Source organism: Homo sapiens, chromosome 17 (genome assembly GCF_000001405.40).
Source record: "Homo sapiens chromosome 17, GRCh38.p14 Primary Assembly".
In the NCBI taxonomy this organism is placed as follows: Eukaryota; Metazoa; Chordata; class Mammalia; order Primates; family Hominidae; genus Homo; species Homo sapiens.
In genome coordinates, this window is record NC_000017.11 from 69063283 (window position 1) to 69082413 (window position 19131).

Sequence of the window (19131 nt, forward strand, 5' to 3'; positions counted from 1 at the left end):
TATAAATTTCATGTGATGTGTTTTGCACCAGACTACAACATTCTTCTTGGAATCTTTGCTGGCTATTTGTAAGGAGGACTTGTCACCCCAAGACCTGTGTGCAGCCCTTCTCAACACTGTGCAAAAACAGAAAAACCTGATCTGTAAAGAGAGAAGGATGAAGCGGTCCAGCTGCCTGATAAAGACTGAGAATGTCTGCTTGTTTTCCAGGGGCTTTTATCTTCTTGCTTTTCATTCTTTCTCAGATCTGGCTGCACTGCCTGCATGTGAGTTTTGTCAGATATCCTCCAAACATTTCTCTTTGTTTTTTGTTTTGTTTTGTGTTTGTTTTTTTTTGTGTGTGTGTGTGACGTGATCTCTGCTCACTGCAAGCTCCGCCTCCCGGGTTCATGCCATTCTCGTGCCTCAGCCTCCCAAGTAGCTGGAACTACAGGCGCCCGCCACGATGCCCGGCTAATTTTTTGTATTTTTAGTAGAGACAGGGTTTCACCATGTTAGCCAGGATGGTCTCGATCTCCTGACCGCGTGATCCGCCCGCCTCGGCCTCCCAAAGTGTTGGGATTACAGGCGTGAGCCACCGCGCCTGGCCCTCTTTGTTTCTTAAAAATGTAATAAATTCTACTTGGTCTTGTTTTGTGCTTTTTTTGCCTTGAAATATCCTTTGTGTGATATATTCCTGCCCTCCACTTTCATTTGCAATTTGCATTTCTCAGATATATTTTGACAAACTTTTATTACATGCCTAAAGGATGCCTGTTGAAGTAGTATAATTGCATTTCTCTTTTTACCTTATCTGCAAATCTTCTACTATCCATGGGCAGGGCAGGGAAGGGGATGTAAGTCCTTTGGTTACCCAATCCTTTTCTTCCAGTCATCTTATTTTATGGTCTCTTTAAATTACGCTTTCCTGTTATTTCCCATTTATCCATTTCTGTAGTGATTGTGTTTTCTCTGTTCCTTTTTTCAGGTTCCCCTTTTCCTTTTTCCCCAACTATCATCTATAAAGTTCTGGATCAGTATTTTGTTCTACTAGTGATAACCCTCAAATGTTAACAAACGTATCAGGATCTACATTACTCTGGCAATATAAAAAATCAGCCTATGTCTCTATACATCTTTCTCCCCCATCTTCCTGCTCCTTATAGGATACACCCGTTAGCATATTTGAACTTAAAACATTAGCTCTACTTCTTACTAATTGCAATGCAAGGCAAGTAACTTACCTTGGAGCCCCAATGATTTACCCAGGAAGCTTTAGTTTTCTCATCTGTGAGATCCAGAGGACACAATAGTATCTAACAAGGGTGTTTTAGAATTTATAAATTTAGGTTTGGGGTGGAGGGGAGATGGTAGAGATTAAAGGAAATAACATATGTAAAGTATTGAGTGCAGTAGCTTGCAATGAGGGATGACTCACCAAATGCTAGAGACTCTACTCTCCACGGCTGTGTCAAAACTAGACATTATAGGTGTTTGTAAATTTTACCAGTCTGATTAATAAAAAATAGTACCACCTTGATAACTTATATTTCTTAGTGGTGTCAAGCATATTTTAATATACTTTTTGGCCATTTGTAAATTTTTTTTTACTATAACAAATCTGTTCATTTTCTCTATCTGTATTTTTGTTACTCTGTCATTCCATTATTGTTTTCTGTTTTTGTTTATAGCTCTGACTGAAAATGTCTTATATTTCTCACTTTAAAAATAGCATGTTATTGCTTTCTCATCCAGATATGATGATAAAGTGCTTTTGGTACTCGTAAGTTTGAGGTTTTTTTGTTTTTCTTGTGAAGACATCTTAGGGTTTTCTCTTTAACCACAAGTGTAGGGAATTTCATGACAGTGTGCTCAGGTATAGATTTTTGGGTTTTGTCCTACATGGCACTTTGTGTTCACTTGCAATCAAAGAACTTGTGTCTCCTTTTTAAGTTCTGGGAAAATTTTAACTAATACCTTCATCAAATATTGCTTTCCTTCTAGTCTCTCTATTCTTTTCTCTTGGAAGTTTATTAGATATTGAGCAATGTTGTCCTTGTGTCTATCCTTTGCTTATCTGCCATCTTGAAATGGGAAAGCAATCTATTTCCACATCACATATAAACAATCTTTCTGACATAGAATTTTTATGATATCATTCCCACTACTGCCTTGACTGTGTCCTGATCTCTTTGCAAATGTACAAGAATTTTTTTTTTAATTATCTGGTCCTTTCTTCTCTTTCCACTCTTCCCTTGCCTTGTCTCCTTCCTCCAACTCAAGCCAGATACTTCTACATGATTTTCTTTTTTAATAAGTACATCATGTTCTCATTTACCTCTCTTTGCTCTCCTGTAACTAACTCCGGTTCACAAGTGGACTTCTCTGGTGACTACAACTATCTGCTCAGCTCCTACTTTTCCTTCAGGTTTCAGCTCTGATCTCTCCTCCCACAAGGTGCCTTCCTTGCTGATACAGTTTGGCCGTGTCCCCCCGGCAAATCTCGTCTTAAATTATAGTTCCCATAATCCCCATGTGTCGTGGGAGGGACCTTGTGGGAGGTAATTGAATCATGAGGGCAGTTACCCTCAGGCTGTTCTTGTGATAGAGAGTGAGTTCTCATAAGATCTGATGGTTTTATAAGGGGCTTTTCCCCCCTTTTGCTCGGCACTTCTCTTTCCTGCCACCCTGTGAAGAAGGACATGTTTGCCTCCCCTTCTGCCATGAATGTAAGTTTCCTGAGGCCTCCCCAGCCACCATGAACTGTGAATCAATTAAACCTCTTTTCCTTATAAATTACCCAGTCTCAAATATGTCTTTACTAGCAACGTGAGAACGAACTGATACCCTTGCCCTCATTGCATATGGGTTCCATGCCCCTTCCAGGTGCCCCCACAGCACGCTGTGGTTACTGCTATTGTAGTATGTACCTCACTGTCTTTTAGGCTAAATATACTCATTTCTCCCACACCATAGATTGTAAACAACTGAAGGGTACAAAATCATCACCGCTGTGTACCTCACAGAGCCTGGAACATGAAGGTTGCTCAATACATATGTTTTAAGTTTTAAATGTATAATATTGAATGTGAGGTAGGAAAACAAAAGAAAAAAAGTATCTTTTTTTTTTCAAGAAGCTTAGTTATAAAAGAAAGGTTGTAGGTTGGGTGGTAGTTTAAGTGAGTTGTTTTTGTCAAGAAAAGGTTGTTATTTTGTTTTTTAAAGACAACATTTAAAAAGGGAAAGTGAGGAGGAGAACGCTGAACACGCAGGAGAAACGCAGTAACAGGTGGAGTGCTGCTTTTTTGGAGGGGCTGCGTAAGACGGTATTGGATCAGATGGGACAGGTTTTTTTTTTTCTCTGTCACAAGAAAAAAAGGAAGTGCCAGTGAAAGCTGAGAGGATTAAAAAATGTGACAACACGAAGTAAAGATTTCCGTCCTCAGGGTTAAGATTTTTCTGTGAAGTAGGAAGCAAATTCTAAGAACAAACCAACAGATGTGCTGGGCACTTGAGGATACTGTGAGGAGTCTTCAAATAGGTATCAAGGAGAGTGGAAGATTGCCTTAGACATGTCAGGAACTCATAAGTCCTGCTGCCTTAAGAAATGCTCCTTGAAACTAAAGGAAAATTTGTAAGGTTTATCTCTGAACTGATGGCTCAAAACAACATATTTTTAGAAGTTATTTATCATTAATTAAAATCATTGATGGATCAGGAAAGGCATCGATAGCTATTGAAACTGATAAATAGTGAGTGACTTAAAGACTTGACAGAAAAATGCTTTAAATGTACAAGAGAAAAGCCGTACTTATGGAATAAACTGAGTTACTCATACCTAAGACACTAGCACCAATACAAAAATAGCAATAAAAAAAGAATTGACATATTTAATGCTAAATTTTGTAATATTTTTGCTATTTTTGTATGAATGGAAATTTTCTTAATATATAATTAAATATGATTTAATATTTTTTAAATTTATATTCTTCAACTTTGAATTTATAAAAGAAAGTCATTGTGCCCTGTAATCCCAGTACTTTGCGAGGCCAAGGTGGGAGGATCTCTCGAGTCCAGAAGTTCAGACCAGCCTGGGCAACATGGTGAAACCCTGTCTCTACAAAAAATACCAAAAAATCAGCCAGGTGTGGTAGTACATGCCTGCAGTTCCAGCTACTCTGGAGGCTGAGGTGGGAACATCACTTGAGCCCTTGAGCCTGGGAGGTGGACGTTGCAGTGAGCTGAGATGGCGCCACAGCCTTCCAGCCTGGGCAACAGAGTAAGCAGAGTGAGACCTTGGAAAAAAAAAAAAAAGAAAGAGAGAGAGACAGAGAAAGAAAAAAGAAAGAAAGAAAGAAAGAAGAAAGAAAGAAACAAAGAGAAAGAAAAGAAAGAGAAAGAAAGAAGGAAAGAAGGAAAGAAATTGGGTTATACAGGTTTCTTTTTTATTCTTACCCTATATAAGACTAACTAGTAAGCCTGGGCTCCTCAAACATCACCAACAATTACAATTACATTACAAGTTATAGTCAGAGTTCAGAAGCCTCACAGAGCTCACTGGGTTTGAAAGAACTAAACATTGCTGCCATTGCATTTCTTGTCAGCTTCTGTTGGGGGCAGTACATAAAAACAAAGAGTTTATTTTGTTATAGTAGATGCTCATCTCTGTGCAGGAAACCTAAACAGAAACACTGGGAAATCTTGGCTCCTTATCTTATAGGCCAGGAAATCTAGGCCCCACTCCACAATATCTGGGGGGCACTAATTCTTTCTGTATTTGTTTTAAGATGTTTGATTAAATTAATATATGTTAGATTTTGCCTAGGTCTTTTTTCTCCAGAGAAATTATTTACTGTTACATAGGAATCTCAGGTGTTCAGCCTTTTTATAAACATTCAACGGAAACTTCAAACAAAAATGTATTTGGTCATCTAAAATTATTGTTTCCAATATACAATCATTATTCCTCTGAGCCCATCCTGGGAGTATTTTATGCAAGTTTTCTAGTGTATTTAGCATACAACTTAAAAAACCTTAAGAAGATATCAAGCCAGTTACTTTTCAATTTATTTGTACCAAAATACCACACAGTGGGATTTTGTAAGATAATAGCAAAATCTTTATTGCTATTTCTATTTCTATTGTTGAACTATGCTAATGTGAATGCTCCTTCAACAAGGAAATAAATAAAATGGTTAAATAAGAAGTAACAAAAACAGAGATCACATTTAAAGAAAAATAAATACCCAGATGCCAGAAATGAAACAGGAAAACAAAGCTAAAAGGAGATTGCTATTTTAAGCCAGTAAGTTTTAAGGTGGTTTGGCAAAGGCTGATTGACAAACCAGCTAAAATATAATTCATGTGTAAGCATAAAATAGATATATCTTTACCCCAAAAAACTGAGATTTCTATTTTATGGACATCTCTGAAAGAACTACTAATAAATATCCTCCAAGAAGAAGAAAAAACTGAATCCAGAAAGAAGTAGGTGAATGCTAGCAACTAATAAATATATTAGTGAACTAAATAAATATTGATTGTGCAAACTAATGATGATAATGACTAATGTGTGCAGGGGGCAGTGTTAAACACAATGGACAACTCAAGTATCAAACAGCAGTTATATGGGAGGAGAGAGCCATGATCAGAGCTAAGTTCCCTAAAAATCTTATAGTTTAGGAAGAGGACAAAGATATGATTAACTTTAAAACTGCATTCTTCAGTAAGGTAGCCACTAGCCCCATGTGAGTATTTAAATGTAAATTTTAATTAATTAAAAATCAATAAAATTTAAAATTCAATTTCTTCACCTCCAACATGTAAAGAGCGTGGAAGTCATTATTCGCTTTCTTGCAGTAAGAAAAAACCTAAGCAAACTGAAAATCAGTGATATTTCTTGGACCCATCAGAGATTGAGGTTTCAGGGCAAACTACAACCCTAAAATCCAGAGAAACAAGTGAATACAGAGAATCACAGCCAAGATCAGCTTACCTGGAGCAGAAATCACTAGAGCCAGAAATTGGTAGGACGGAATGCATAAATGGTAATTTTGATGAATTGCTGGAGGTTGAGTGTGGCCTGCAGCCGGGGGAGACATTCCTGGGGTCAGTCCCCTTAAGGGGAAGAAACAGGTGAGTGTAACTGGAGGAGGGCAAAGCCTGTGGGCCTCAAGGATCCATTCACCACTAGATCTGGTACCAAAGCAGGGGAGGAGGGTCTGACCTCCCTTTCCTTCTATCCTCAATCTGTTGCTGCTACTTCCTGTTGGATTAATCAAACCCAGCTGGAATCCAGGCATCAAAGAAGAGAATTGGTGATGCAGTACACAGTGGTCAGCTTCTTTTACAAGGGGTGTGTTAGGGAAATAGAGAGTAAAGCCTGCACTAGATCTCTCTACGACAGCGTTGAAATAGTTTAGTTCTTTTTCCATTTTTCTCTTGATCCCTTCTTTTGTTTTATTCTGATCTTCCGTTTTCAGAATCATTAATCTGCTCCTAAATATAATCTTAATAAAAACCCATTAATAGCTTGAAAAACAACCATATTATGATATTTTTAGCAAACTATGTCCATTTTAAAACTTTTAAAACCTTTATACTATATCTGATGTTGGTTATTCGGTATCTTGTAAACATTTCCATAACACTTAAGAAAACTTATAGTTTATCAAAAACACAAGCAAAGATTTCATTATATTGTTATTGAAAGTGGTTATATATATTGTCATGTTATTCATTTGAGCAAGACAGGAGAATTTATTGCTTGGGTTTTAGAAATAATTTAAATAAATTCAACTATCATTGTAAAACAAATTTACATTTATAAAGCACTAATGGTTCCAGAATGAACAAATTATAGGTTATTTATCACAGGTTTGGAAATGTAACTCTTCAGATACAATTATATCTGTAAAATATACAGATAAAATATTTAATTACATAAAATGCTTATATAATAGATAAGAAAAAGATTAAAGCATAAATATAAATGATCAAAAAAATACAAAAATTAAAAAAATAAAATGCAGCTCCCGGGCAAGATGGCCAAAAGAGAACAGCCCTGGTCTGCAGCTCCTAGCGAGATCAACGCAGAAGACGGGTGATTTCTGCATTTCCAACTGAGGTACCCAGTTCATCTCACTGGGACTGGTTAGACAGTGGGTGCAGCCCATTGAGGGGGAGCAGAAGCAGGGTGGGCCGTTGCCTCACCCGGGAAGAACAAGGGGTCAAGGAACTCCCTCCCCTAGCCAAGGGAAGCGTGAGGGACTGTGCCTTGAGGGATGGTGCACTCCGGCCCAGATACTATGCATTTCCCATGGTCTTCACAACCCACAGACCAGGAGATTCCCTTGGGTGCCTACACCACCAGGGCCCTGAGTTTCAAGCACAAAGCTGGATGGCCATTTGGGCAGACACCGAGCTAGCTGCAGGAATGTTTTTTGTACCCCAGTGGCACCTGGAACGCCAGTGAGACAGAACCGTTCACTCCCTGGAAAGGGGGCTGAAGCCAGGAAGCCAAGTGGTCTAGCTCAGCAGATCACACCTTCACAGAGCCCAGCAATGTCAGATCCACTAGACTGAAATTCTCACTGCCAGCACAGCAGTCTGAAGTCGACCTGGGGTGCTCGAGCTTGGTGACGGGAGGGGTGTCTGCCATTACTGAGGCTTGAATAGGTGGTTTTCCTCTCACAGTGTAAACAAAGCTGTCAGGAAGTTCAAACTGGGTGGAGCACAACACAGCTCAGCAAAGCCACTATAGCCAGACTGCCTCTCTAGATTCCTCCTCTCTGGGCAGGGCATCTCTGAAAGAAAGGCAGCAGCCCCAATCAGGGGCTTATAGATAAAACTCTGATCTCCCTGGGACAGAGCACCTGGGAGAAGGGGCGGCTGTGGGCACAGCTTCAGCAGACTTAAACGTTCCTGCCTGCTGGCTCTGAAGAGAGCAGTGGATCTCTCAGTACAGTGCTTGAGCTCTGCTAAGGGACAGACTGCCTACTCAAGTGAGTCCCTGACCCCTGTGCCTTCTGACAGAGAGACAACTCCCAGCAGGGGTTGACAGACAGCTCATACAGAAGAGCTTCAGCTGGCATCTGGCGGGTGCCCCTCTGGGATGAAGCTTCCAGAGGAAGGAGCAGGCAGCAATCTTTGCTGTTCTGCAGCCTCCGCCAGTGAGACCCAGGCAAACAGGGTCTGGAGTGGACCCCCAGCAAACTCCAGTAGACCTGCAGAAGAGGGGCCTGACTGTTAGAAGAAAAACTAACAAACAGAAAACAATAGCATCAACATCAACAAAAAGGACGACCACGCAAAAACTCCATCCAAAGGTCACCAACAGCAAAGACCAAAGGTAGATAAATCCACGAAGATGAGGAAAAACCAGTGTAAAAAGGCTGAAAATTCAAAAACCCAGAATGCCTATTCTCCTCCAAAAAATCAAAACTCCTTGCCAGCAAGGGAACAAAACTGGATAGATAATGAGTTTGATGAATTGACAGAAGTAGGCTTCAGAAGATGGGTAATAACAAACTCCTTTGAGCTAAAGGAGCATGTTCTAACCTAATGCAAGGAAGCTAAGAACTTTGATAAAAGTTTAGAGGAATTGCTAACTAGAATAACCAGTTTAGAGAAGAACATAAATGACCTGATGAAGCTGAAAAACACAGCACGAGAACTTTGTGAAGCATACACAAGTATTAATAGCTGAATCGATCAAACAGGAGAAAGGATACCAAAGATTGGAGATCATCTTAATGAAATAAAGCATGAAGACAAGATTAGAGAAAAAAGAATAGAAAGGAATGAACAAAGTCTCCAAGCAATATGGGACTATGTGAAAAGACCAAACCTACATTTTATTGGTGTACCTGAAAGTGACGGGGAGAATGGAACCAAGTTGGGAAACACTCTTCGGGATATTAACCAGGAGAACTTCACCAATCTAGCAAGACAGGCCAACATTCAAATTCAGGAAATACAGAGAACACCACAAAGATACTCTTCGAGAAGAGCAACCCCAAGACACATAATCATCAGATTAACCAAGGTTGAAATGAGGGAAAAAATGTTAAGGGCAGCCAGAGAGAAAGGTCGGTTTACTCACAAAGGGAAGCCCATCAGACTAACAGTGGATCTCTTGGCAGAAACCCTACAGGCCAGAAGAGAGTGGGGGACAATATTCAACATTCTTAAAGAAAAGAATTTTCAACCCAGAATTTCATATCCAGCCAAAATGAATTTCATAAGTGAAGGAGAAATAAAATCCTTTACAGACAAGCAAATGCTGAGGGATTTTGTCACCACCAGGCCTGCCTTACAAGAGCTCCTGAAGGAAGCACTAAATATGGAAAGGAAAAACTGGTACCAGCCACTGCAAAAAAAAAAAACAAAATGTAAAGACCATCAACACTATGAAGAAACTGCATCAACTGATGGGCAAAATAACCAGCTAGCATCATAATGACAGGATCAAATTCACACATAACAATATTAACCTTAAATGTAAACAGGCTAAATGCCCCCAATTAAGAGACACAGACTGGCAAATTGGATGAAGAGTAAAGACTTATCAGTGTGCTGTATTCAGGATGCATCTCACATGCAAAGACACACATAGGCTGCTCAAAATGAAGGGATGGAGGAATATTTACCAAGCAAATGGAAAGCAAATAAAGCAGGGGTTGCAATCCTAGTCTCTGATAAAACAGACTTTAAACCAACAAAGATCAAAAGAGACAAAGAAGGGCATTACATAATGGTAAAGGGATCAATGCAACAAGAAGAGATAACTATCCTAAATATATATGCATCCAATACAGGAGCACCCAGATTCATAAAGCAAGTTCTTAGAGACCTACAAAGAGACTTAGACTTTCACACAATAATAGTGGCAGACTTTAACACTGCATTGTCAATATTAGACAGATCAACAAGACAGAAAATTAACAAGGATATTCAGGACGTGAACTCAGCTCTGGACCAAGCAGATCTAATAGACATCTACAGAACTCTCCACCCTCCATCCAACAGAAATTACATCCTTCTCAGCACCACACAGCACTTACTCTAAAATCGACCACATAGTTGGAAGTAAAACACTCCTCAGCAAATGCAAAAGAATGGAAATCATAACAAACAGTCTCTCAGAAGACAGTGCAATCAAATTAGAACTCAGGATTAAGAAATTCACTCAAAACTGCACAACTACATGGAAACTGAACAACCTGCTCCTGAATGACTACTGGGTACATAACAAAATTAAGGCAGAAATAAATAAGTTCTTTGAAACCAGTGAGAACAAAGAAACAACATACCAGAATCTCTGGGACAGCTACAGCAGTGTTTAGAGGGAAACTTATAGCACTAAATGCCCACACAAGAAAGCAGCAAAGATCTAAAATTGACACCCTAACATTACAATTAAAAGAACTAGAGAAGCAAGAGCAAACAAATTCAAAAGCTAGCAGAAGACAAGAAATAACTAAGATCAGAGTAAAACTGAAGGAGACAGAGACAGCCTTAAACTCCTGGGCTTAAACTGTCCTCCCACCTCAGCCTCCTGGGTAGCTTGGACCACAAGCACATACCACCCGGCTAACTTTTACTTTTTTTTTTGTAGTTTGTAGTGATAGGGTCTTGCTATGTTGCCCAGGATGGTCTTGAACTCGTGGTCCCAAGTGATCTTCCCACCTCATCCTCCCAAAGCATTAGGATTACAGGTATGAGCCATCATGCCTGGCCTCTTTTCTTATTATGCTATAACCAGGTATTGTGATTTATCACCTGGTTTTCTTAGCTCTTGTGAAGACCTTTTTGTGGATAGTTATTCAAATAGATGTTTTTATAGAAGGACAATCACTGGTGAGAACTATTCTACCATCTTGCTCCATTCTCTCCTTGACATGGTGATTCTTTTATTCAATTTTATTTAATTTCTATATTTTTCTCTATTATACAAATTTTCTTCATTGACTATAAAAATATTTTTATTTTTATAATTTCAACTTTTATTTTAGATTCAGGAGATACATGTGAAGGTTTCTTACATGAGTATATTGCATGATGCTGTGTTTGGGATACAAATGATCTAGTCACCCAGATAGTGAGTATAGTAAACAATGGTTAGTTTCTCCTTGCCTCCCTCCCTCGTCTGTTAGTCCCCTGGGGGACTATTGTTGCCATCTTTATGTCCATGAATACTTAATATTTAGCTCCCACTTATAAGTGAGAACATGTGGTATTTGGTTTTGTTCCTGCATTACTACGATTAGAATAATGGCTTCTAGCTGTGTCCATGTTGTTGCAAAGGACATGATTTTGTTCCTTTTTATGGCTGGGTATTCCTTTTGATTCCAGGGTATATATGTACTACATTTCCTTTATCCAATCCACCACTGACGGGCATCTCGGTTGATTCCATGTCTTTACTATTGTGAATACTGCTGTGATTAACATATGAGGTCATGTTTTTTTGGAAATTTATCCATTTCCTCTAGGTTTTCTAGTTTGTGTGCATTTTCCTTTGGTTATATACCCAATAATGGGATTGCTGGGTCAAATGGTAGTTCTATTTTAAGTTCTTTGAGAAATCTCCAAACTGCTTTCCACAGTGGCAGTGTTCCCTTTTCTCCACAGCCTTGCTGGTATCTGCTGTTTTTTAATTTCTTAATAATAACAATTCTGTCTGGTATAATAAGGTATCTCATTGTGGATTTGATTTGCATTTCTCTGATGATTAGCAATGTTGAGCATTTTTTCATGTTTGTTGACTGCTTGTATGTCTTCCTTTGAGAAGTGTCTGTTCATGTTTTTTGACCACTTTTTAATGGGATTACTGGTTTTTTGCTTGTTGAAATAAGTTCCTTATAGATACTTGATATTTGACCTTTGTCAGATGAATAGGTTATGAATATATTCTCCTGTTCTCTAGGTTGTCTATTTACTCTGTTGATAGTTTCTTTTGCCGTGCAGAAGTTCTTTAGTTTACTTAGGTCCCGCTTGTCCATTTTTGGTTTTGTTGCAATTGCTTCTGAGGACTTAGTCATAAATTCTTTCCTAAGGCAGATGTCCAGAATGGTGTTTCCTAGGTTTTCTCATAGGATTCTTACAGTTTGAAGTCTTATGTTTAAATCTTTGATTCATCTTGAGTTAAATTTTGTATATGGTGAAAGGTGGGGGTCCACTTTGATTATTCTGCATATTGCTAGCTAACTATCCTAGGACCATTTATTAAATACGGAGTCCTTTCCCGATTGCTTATTTTGTCTGTTTGTCAAAGAACAGATGGCTATTGGTGTGTGGCTTTATTTCTGTGTTCTCTATTCTGTTCCATTGGTCTATATGCCTTTTTTGTACAAGTATCATGCTGTTTTGGTTACTGTAGCCTTATAGTATAGTTTGAAGTCAAGTAATGTGATGCCTCCAGCTTTGTTCTTTTTGCTTATGGTTGTTTCGGCCATTCAGGCTTTTTAATATAAATTTTAAAATATTTTTTCTAATTCCATGAAAAATGACATTAATAGTTTGGTAGAAATAGTGTCAAATCTGTAGATTGCTTTGGGGAGTATGGCCATTTTAACTATATTATTTCAATCCATAAGCATGTCATATTTTTCTGTGTCATCTATGATTTCTTTCAGCAGTGTTTTGTAATTCTTCTTACAGAGATCTTTCACCTCCTTGGTTAGATAAGTTAGATGTATTCCTAGGAATTTATTTTTTGTGTGGCCATCTATTTGGATACTTTCTATTTCCTTTTCTTGCATCATTGCTCTGGCAAGAAATTCAGTACTATGTTGAATAGGAGTGGTGAAAGTGAGCATCCTTGTCTTGTTGCAGTTTTCAAGGGGAATGGTTCCATCTTTTGCCCATTCAGTATAATGTTGGCTATGGGTTTGTCATTGATGTTTCCTATTATTTTTAGGTAAGTTCCTTCAATGCCTATTTTGTTGAGGGTTTTTATCATGAAGGGATGTTGGATTTAATCATAGGCTTTTCCCACATCTAGTGATATACTCATATGGTTTTATTTTTAATTCTCTTTATGTGGTAAATCACATTTATTGATTTGTGTATGTTGAACCAACCTTGTATCCCAGGAGTTAAGGCAAGTTGATCATGGTAAACTAAATTCTGATGTGCTGTTAAATTCAGTTTGCTTACATTTTGCTGAGGATATTTGTATCTATATTCACCAGGGATATTGTTCTGTAGTTTTCTTTGTTGTGTCTTTGCCAGGTTCTGGTATTAGGGTGATGCTGGCTTCATAAAATGAGTTACGGAGTAGTCCCTCATCTGTGAATTTTTAGAATAGTTTCAGTAAAATTGCTCAGCTCTTTTTTGTAAGTCTGATAGAATTCAGTTGTGAATCCATCTGGTCTGGGTCTTTTCTTGGTTGGTAGATTTTTCATTACTGGTTCAATTCTGGAACTTGGTATTGGTCTGCTAGGGTTTCAATTTCTTCCTGGTTGGATCTTGGGAGATTGCGTGTTTCCAGGAATTTATCCATTTCTTCTAGATTTTCTAGTTTGTGTGCATAGAGGTGTTCATAATAGTCTCAGAGGATCTTTTGTATTTCTGTGGGATCAGTTGTAATGTCGCCTTTGTCATTTCTGATTGTGCTTATTTGGATTTTCTCTCTTTTTTTTCTTTTTTAGTCTAGCTAGTTGTCTATCGATCTTGTTTATCTGTTCAAAAAACCAATTTTTGGTTTCACTTATTCTTCATGTGGATTTTTGGGCCTCAATTTTGTTAGTTCTGCACTGATTTTAGTTATTTCTTTTCTTCTGCTAGTTTTGGGATTTTGTTCTTGTTCTTCTAGTTCCACCAGGTGTTATGTTAGAGTGTTAATTTTACATCTTTCTAACTTTTCGAAGTAGGTATTTAGTGCTATAAACTTCCCTCTTACCACTGCTTTTGCTGTATTCCAGAGATTTTGGTATGTTGTATCTCTGTTTTCATTTATTTCAAAAAATTTTTTTTAATTTCTGCCTTAATTTCATCATACCCAAAAGTCATTCAGGAGAAAGTTTTTAAATTTCCATGTAATTCCATGATTTGGGGAGATCTTCTTGGTATTGCTATTTTTATTCTTCTGTGGTCTGAGAGTATGGTTGGTATGATTTCAACTTTTTAAAATGTATTGAGACTTGCTTTATGTCTGAGCATGTGGCCAATCTTGGAGTATGTTCTGTGTGCAGATGAGAAGAATGTATATTCTGTGCTGATCAGTGAAGTGTTCTATAGATGCCTGTTAGGTCCAATTGGTCAAGTGTCAAATTGAAGTCCAAAATTTCTTGTTAGTTTTCTACCTCAGTGGTCAATTTAACACTGTCAATGGGGTGTTGAAGTTTCCTACTACCATTGTTTGGCTCTCTAAGTCTTTTCATACATCTAGAAATCATTGTTTTAAGAATCTGGGTGCTCCAATGTTGGGTGCATATATATTTAGGATAGTTAACTCCTCTTGTTGAATTGAACCCCTTATTATGTACAATATGTGAACACCAAAAAATCACAGAAGGAATACTGCTTGGTCTTTGAATTTTTTTTTTTGGTGATATTCAGAATGAAATAGCTATTTTTAAGGGAAAGAATAAAGTAATATGTTAAACTGACAGGTATTTTAAAAATTAAATAATATAAAAGATATGTGGAAAATATATAGATACACCTACATGCACATACACTTATATAAGGGAGAAATGATTTTAAAAAATATCAAATCCCATAAAACTATTCAAAGATGACAAGGAAAATTAGCACCCCCTGAAAACAATAAGTTAATGTTGTTAAGAGTATGCAAAATTTAAAAAATCTGAACAAATACTACTGTGACTCCCTTTATTTTCAAAAGGTATAATGGAACTACTTTTCAACATGAGTGCTTGTCTACTTGTGTGTCCAAGGACCTCCTAATACTTGTGAGGTTTTTTGGTTTTGTTTTTGTTGTTTTTTTTTTTTTTGACAGAGTCTCACTCTGTCACCCAGGCTGGAGTGCACTAGCACATGGCTCACTGCAACCTCTGCCTCCCGGGTTCAAGCAATTCTCCTCCCTCAGCCTCCCGAATAGCTAGGACTACAGGCAAATGCCAACGCCCGGCTAATTTTTGTATTTTTATTAGAGATGGAGTTTCACCATATTGGCCAGGCTAGTCTCGAACTCCTGACCTTGTGATCCACCTGCCTCGGCCTCCCAAAGTGCTGGGATTACAGGCGTGAGCCACTGCACCTGGCCCCTTACTTTTGAGTTTTAAAGCAATTTCTGGAACACTTTCAGAAGACTCTTGAGTTGTAGTTGGTTATAAAAGAAAACCTGTATACCTGTTGTATCATGAACTGGTGTGAAGTAGTCATGCAACTCTTGGCTACTGAATATACCCTTCACATATTTCAGCAAGAGAATGTTTTGTAAAAGGTAAAAAAGTCATATTTTTAAAAAATTCTAAGTTTATATAGTTTTATTTCCACAATACCCAGTGCCTGACTCTTTGGGTGACTTTACTAATATTTTGTATTGCCTTTATCACAGGTTTGCTATCACCCCTATGTTTGAGAGGAAGAATAATTTTAAAATTTATGTATTTGTTAACTAAATTTACAAAATATACCTGATGTTAATTTTAAATGATCTTTAAAATTAAACATACTATTAATTATTACATAAAACATGAGTTTATAGGAGATCAACAAAAAATTACTAGGTTTGAGGTTTTAAGGTTCATCTGAATGAGGGAGGAGTTTCCATCTCATTGTTGTATCAATTTCTTCATCAAAATTTCCTACTTCCTGTTCTTTAGAAAGCTCTAAGAATACCTAATTAGGAGACAAAGAAGAAGGAAAGAAGGAAGAGAGATTATCAAGTTGTTGGTCTTCCAAATGAACAGGAAAATGCATGTTGCTTTCATGTGAAATTTACCAGATGATACAAAGTCAAACCACTTGACTTACCTTCTCCAGTGTGCACTGAGAAAGGCTGTATTCTTCCAGGTTAAAGTTATGCTTCACTGGAGGAAAAAAAAGACTAGTATTAATAGTAGATGCTTACAATTTATTACCAAGAATTTTTTCAAAATCATAAAGAATAAAAATGTAAATCATTAATATAAATAAAGCTGAATAAGCCAATGCTTGATGTAAGGATGAAATAATGAAAGCCATACAGAATTAATATAAATATATACTATGTTAATATTGATGTTATTTTCTCATATTATGTTTCAATAATATTTGTTTTGGTATTGCGTGCGTATGTCTTTGGAAGATACATATGTTCTTTGAAGAACTACATCATTGATCAAAATATTCTTACACATGAGGAAGATCCTATCCCATCCTCTTTAAGAGAACTCAAAACTCCCTTCAGCCAGTTCATCTGTTATATCACCTCTCTGCTGGACTTCCCCACCAAAAAGTCTGCATGACAGTTGTCACCAGATTCACATATCCACATGTGCATACTTCACCATTTATACGCTAAGAATCTGCTACATGTGAGGCACTCTTAGATGGCAGAAACAGAACAGTCAAGAAAATAGACAAGTACTCCTGCCTTGATATAGTTTGCATTTTAGTGGGAGGAATTAGTGACATTAAATACACAAGCACTGCATATATGATAAAGTTAATGATGATAGTGGCTTTAAAGAAAAATAAAGTTGGTAAAAATAAATAGGGAGCGCTAGGCACTCTTTTTTACCGGATGGTCAGAGAAGGCCACACTAATAAGGTAATAATTGAACCAACATCTGAAAATGGGAGGAAGAAGCCTGGATGTTTAGGAAGGAGAATTCCAGGAAGAAGGATTAGCAAGTACAAAGTCCTGAGGCAGGAGCTTACATGTCTGGCAGCATTTAGGAAGAACTAGAAAGTCATCTATCTAGCATGGAAGGAACAAAGCAGAGATATATATTATGATATATATTATGTCAAACACAATGAGCTAGGCACTGTTCTAGGCACTTAAAATATTTACTCATTTAATCCTAACAACATGGCCAAGTGGGCACTAATAGTATCCATCATTGCAGAGACGAACCATCTAGATATGCAGGGATTGAGTACCTCACCCAACGTCACCCAGCTAGTAAGCAGCATGCCTGGGCTGAGAACCCAGAAAGATGGGCTCTAAAGTTTGAGCTCTTCACCATTATGCTGTGCTGAGAAATTACACCCAATGGTCTGCTGTTGGGAATGACGGGGTTGAAAGCAGAGAAAATGATGACAGGAGAGAGAGTGTGGACAATTACAACCAGCAAAAGGAGTTACACACAATGCAGGGGACGGTCAAAGCTATCATTCAAATAGGAAGGCCAAATACACCTGCACAGACACAAGGAGGTTGATGGATGGATGGAAACTTTCTCTGTTGCTTCTATTTTATTAGTGAAATATAAAGCAAGGGCATCAACTGAGGGATAAAAGTGGGAAGGAGGTGGATATGTAAGGAAAGAAAGGGAGTAAAGTAATAATTTGGGACACTTGGTGTGAATGGATTATATACATGTAGGCAAAGCAGGCCACACAGAGGGGCTTTTAGAGGGGGATGCCATGGTTTCACAGTAAGAACAGTTAAGCATGTGTGTTTCCTGCAGCTTCGGTCCCTGCACTGGAGATTAACCTCTTTTCACAGAGTCAGAGTAACCTAAATTGGGATTAAATCTCACCATTACCTACAGTTAGAATTCTTAAAAATCATGCCCTACAGCCCTATTTTAAAAAATTGTTACACAATTAGCTTCCATTAAATTATTATTTTAGTATTAGTTGATTCTTCAAAAGATTTATTTGAATGTGGTCACTCTTACCTGCTTCTAATTTGTGAAAGGTCTGTGATAGAGGGTAAACGTCTGCCACGGGCAGCTTATAGGTTAACAAAGAGGAATACCTGAAAACAGGAAGATGTCGTTTTCAGCTCTGAGTTTCAAGGGGAGAAAATGAGCATCAGAATAAATATTGATATTACCAACAATTTTCTTCTTAAAATAAAAGTAATGCAAATTAATGTATGGCTTAAATATGAAATCACAGCATTGTTTTGAATTGCTTTTTGGTATCTGGCTGTTGCAGACAGCTCTCCTGGTAATAACTCAGCATAATTATATATGTGCTCAGCTTATGCAAAACCTTTGCGTGTTGAAAATCAGGTATTCTGAACTATTCCCTTTGATTAGTTCGAATTAGGTTGGGAATTAACCCCAAAATAAATGTTCATCTTTGTCATCAGAAAGCTAATTCATTGTTTTGTTTTTTTTAATGAATGAATTTTTTCTTTATTTCTTACATTTCCAGCAATTTGCTTTACATTTACAATGGAAAATATAAACACTTAAACAAAAGTAAATTCAGGACTATTTTGTAAAACCATAAATAGTGGCAAATCTTGGAGATGGAGGTTGATATTGGCGAAAGATCTGTAAGGAAGACATATTTATTCTGAAGGCTTTTTCTAGGCCCTAGGGCAATCTAGAAGTAAGGAAATCAATAGAGCTTGGGCTGCCAACCAAAAAACCTCGGAATCTCCTTGATTCCCCCTCCTCCCAGAAGTCTAACTTGTAAAGAATAATATGAGGTTGGGAGAGTTGGAGATTGCAGTAGAGGAAGGACATAAAACACTTTAACAAAATACTTCCTGACCTCTAAGGAAGAGACGTAATTGATTTGGGGCATCTTGCTTCCGTGTGCTACTTCTGGCTGTAAACCCTCATGCCCTATTCCCAGCTTATTCCCAAACAGGGGTTTGGTGCTCCCAGGTGGCACTAAGGTTGACCAGATGTCCAAGATTGGCCCTTTTCAGACCAGCCACTGCTCTTTCTGTTTTATCATTTTTGATCTTCCCACCTATATCAGAACCACTTCTCTGATTTGTGACACCAAACGTCTGGGAATGGGACAAAGTTACATGTTCTGATATCTATCTTAGAAAATTTAATTACATTTACACTGTGCTAAAATAAAATAGTAGCTTTTATGTCCTATTTTTTGATGTACTTATCTCTCCACGGGAATTTCAAATTCAGTTTCTGCTCCACCTTCTTGCCCTCCCCCAAATAACATACAGACATACACAAACACACACACACACACACACACACACACACACACAGATATGTGGGCATGCACACACACATACACACATACCCCTTTCCACTCTCT

At 37.8% G+C, this 19131-nt stretch overlaps 2 protein-coding genes across 2 annotated transcripts in view; both read right to left on the reverse strand.

Annotated features, from left to right (window-relative positions):
* ABCA9 (ATP binding cassette subfamily A member 9) overlaps positions 1-15695 on the reverse strand; it is a 104490-nt gene extending 88795 nt beyond the window's left edge. The window contains exon 1 of the mRNA XM_017024013.2: positions 15678-15695. The gene's annotated coding sequence lies outside the window, so the exon portion shown is untranslated. The remainder of the gene's footprint in view (positions 1-15677) is intronic.
* Positions 15420-19131, reverse strand: part of ABCA6 (ATP binding cassette subfamily A member 6) — a 63194-nt gene continuing 59482 nt past the window's right edge. Inside the window, exons 37-39 of the mRNA NM_080284.3 lie at positions 17784-17863; positions 15928-15983; positions 15420-15792 (exon numbers count right to left, since the gene is read on the reverse strand). Coding sequence (NP_525023.2) covers positions 15691-15792; positions 15928-15983; positions 17784-17863 — 238 coding nt within the window. The 3' untranslated portion in view covers positions 15420-15690. The remainder of the gene's footprint in view (positions 15793-15927; positions 15984-17783; positions 17864-19131) is intronic.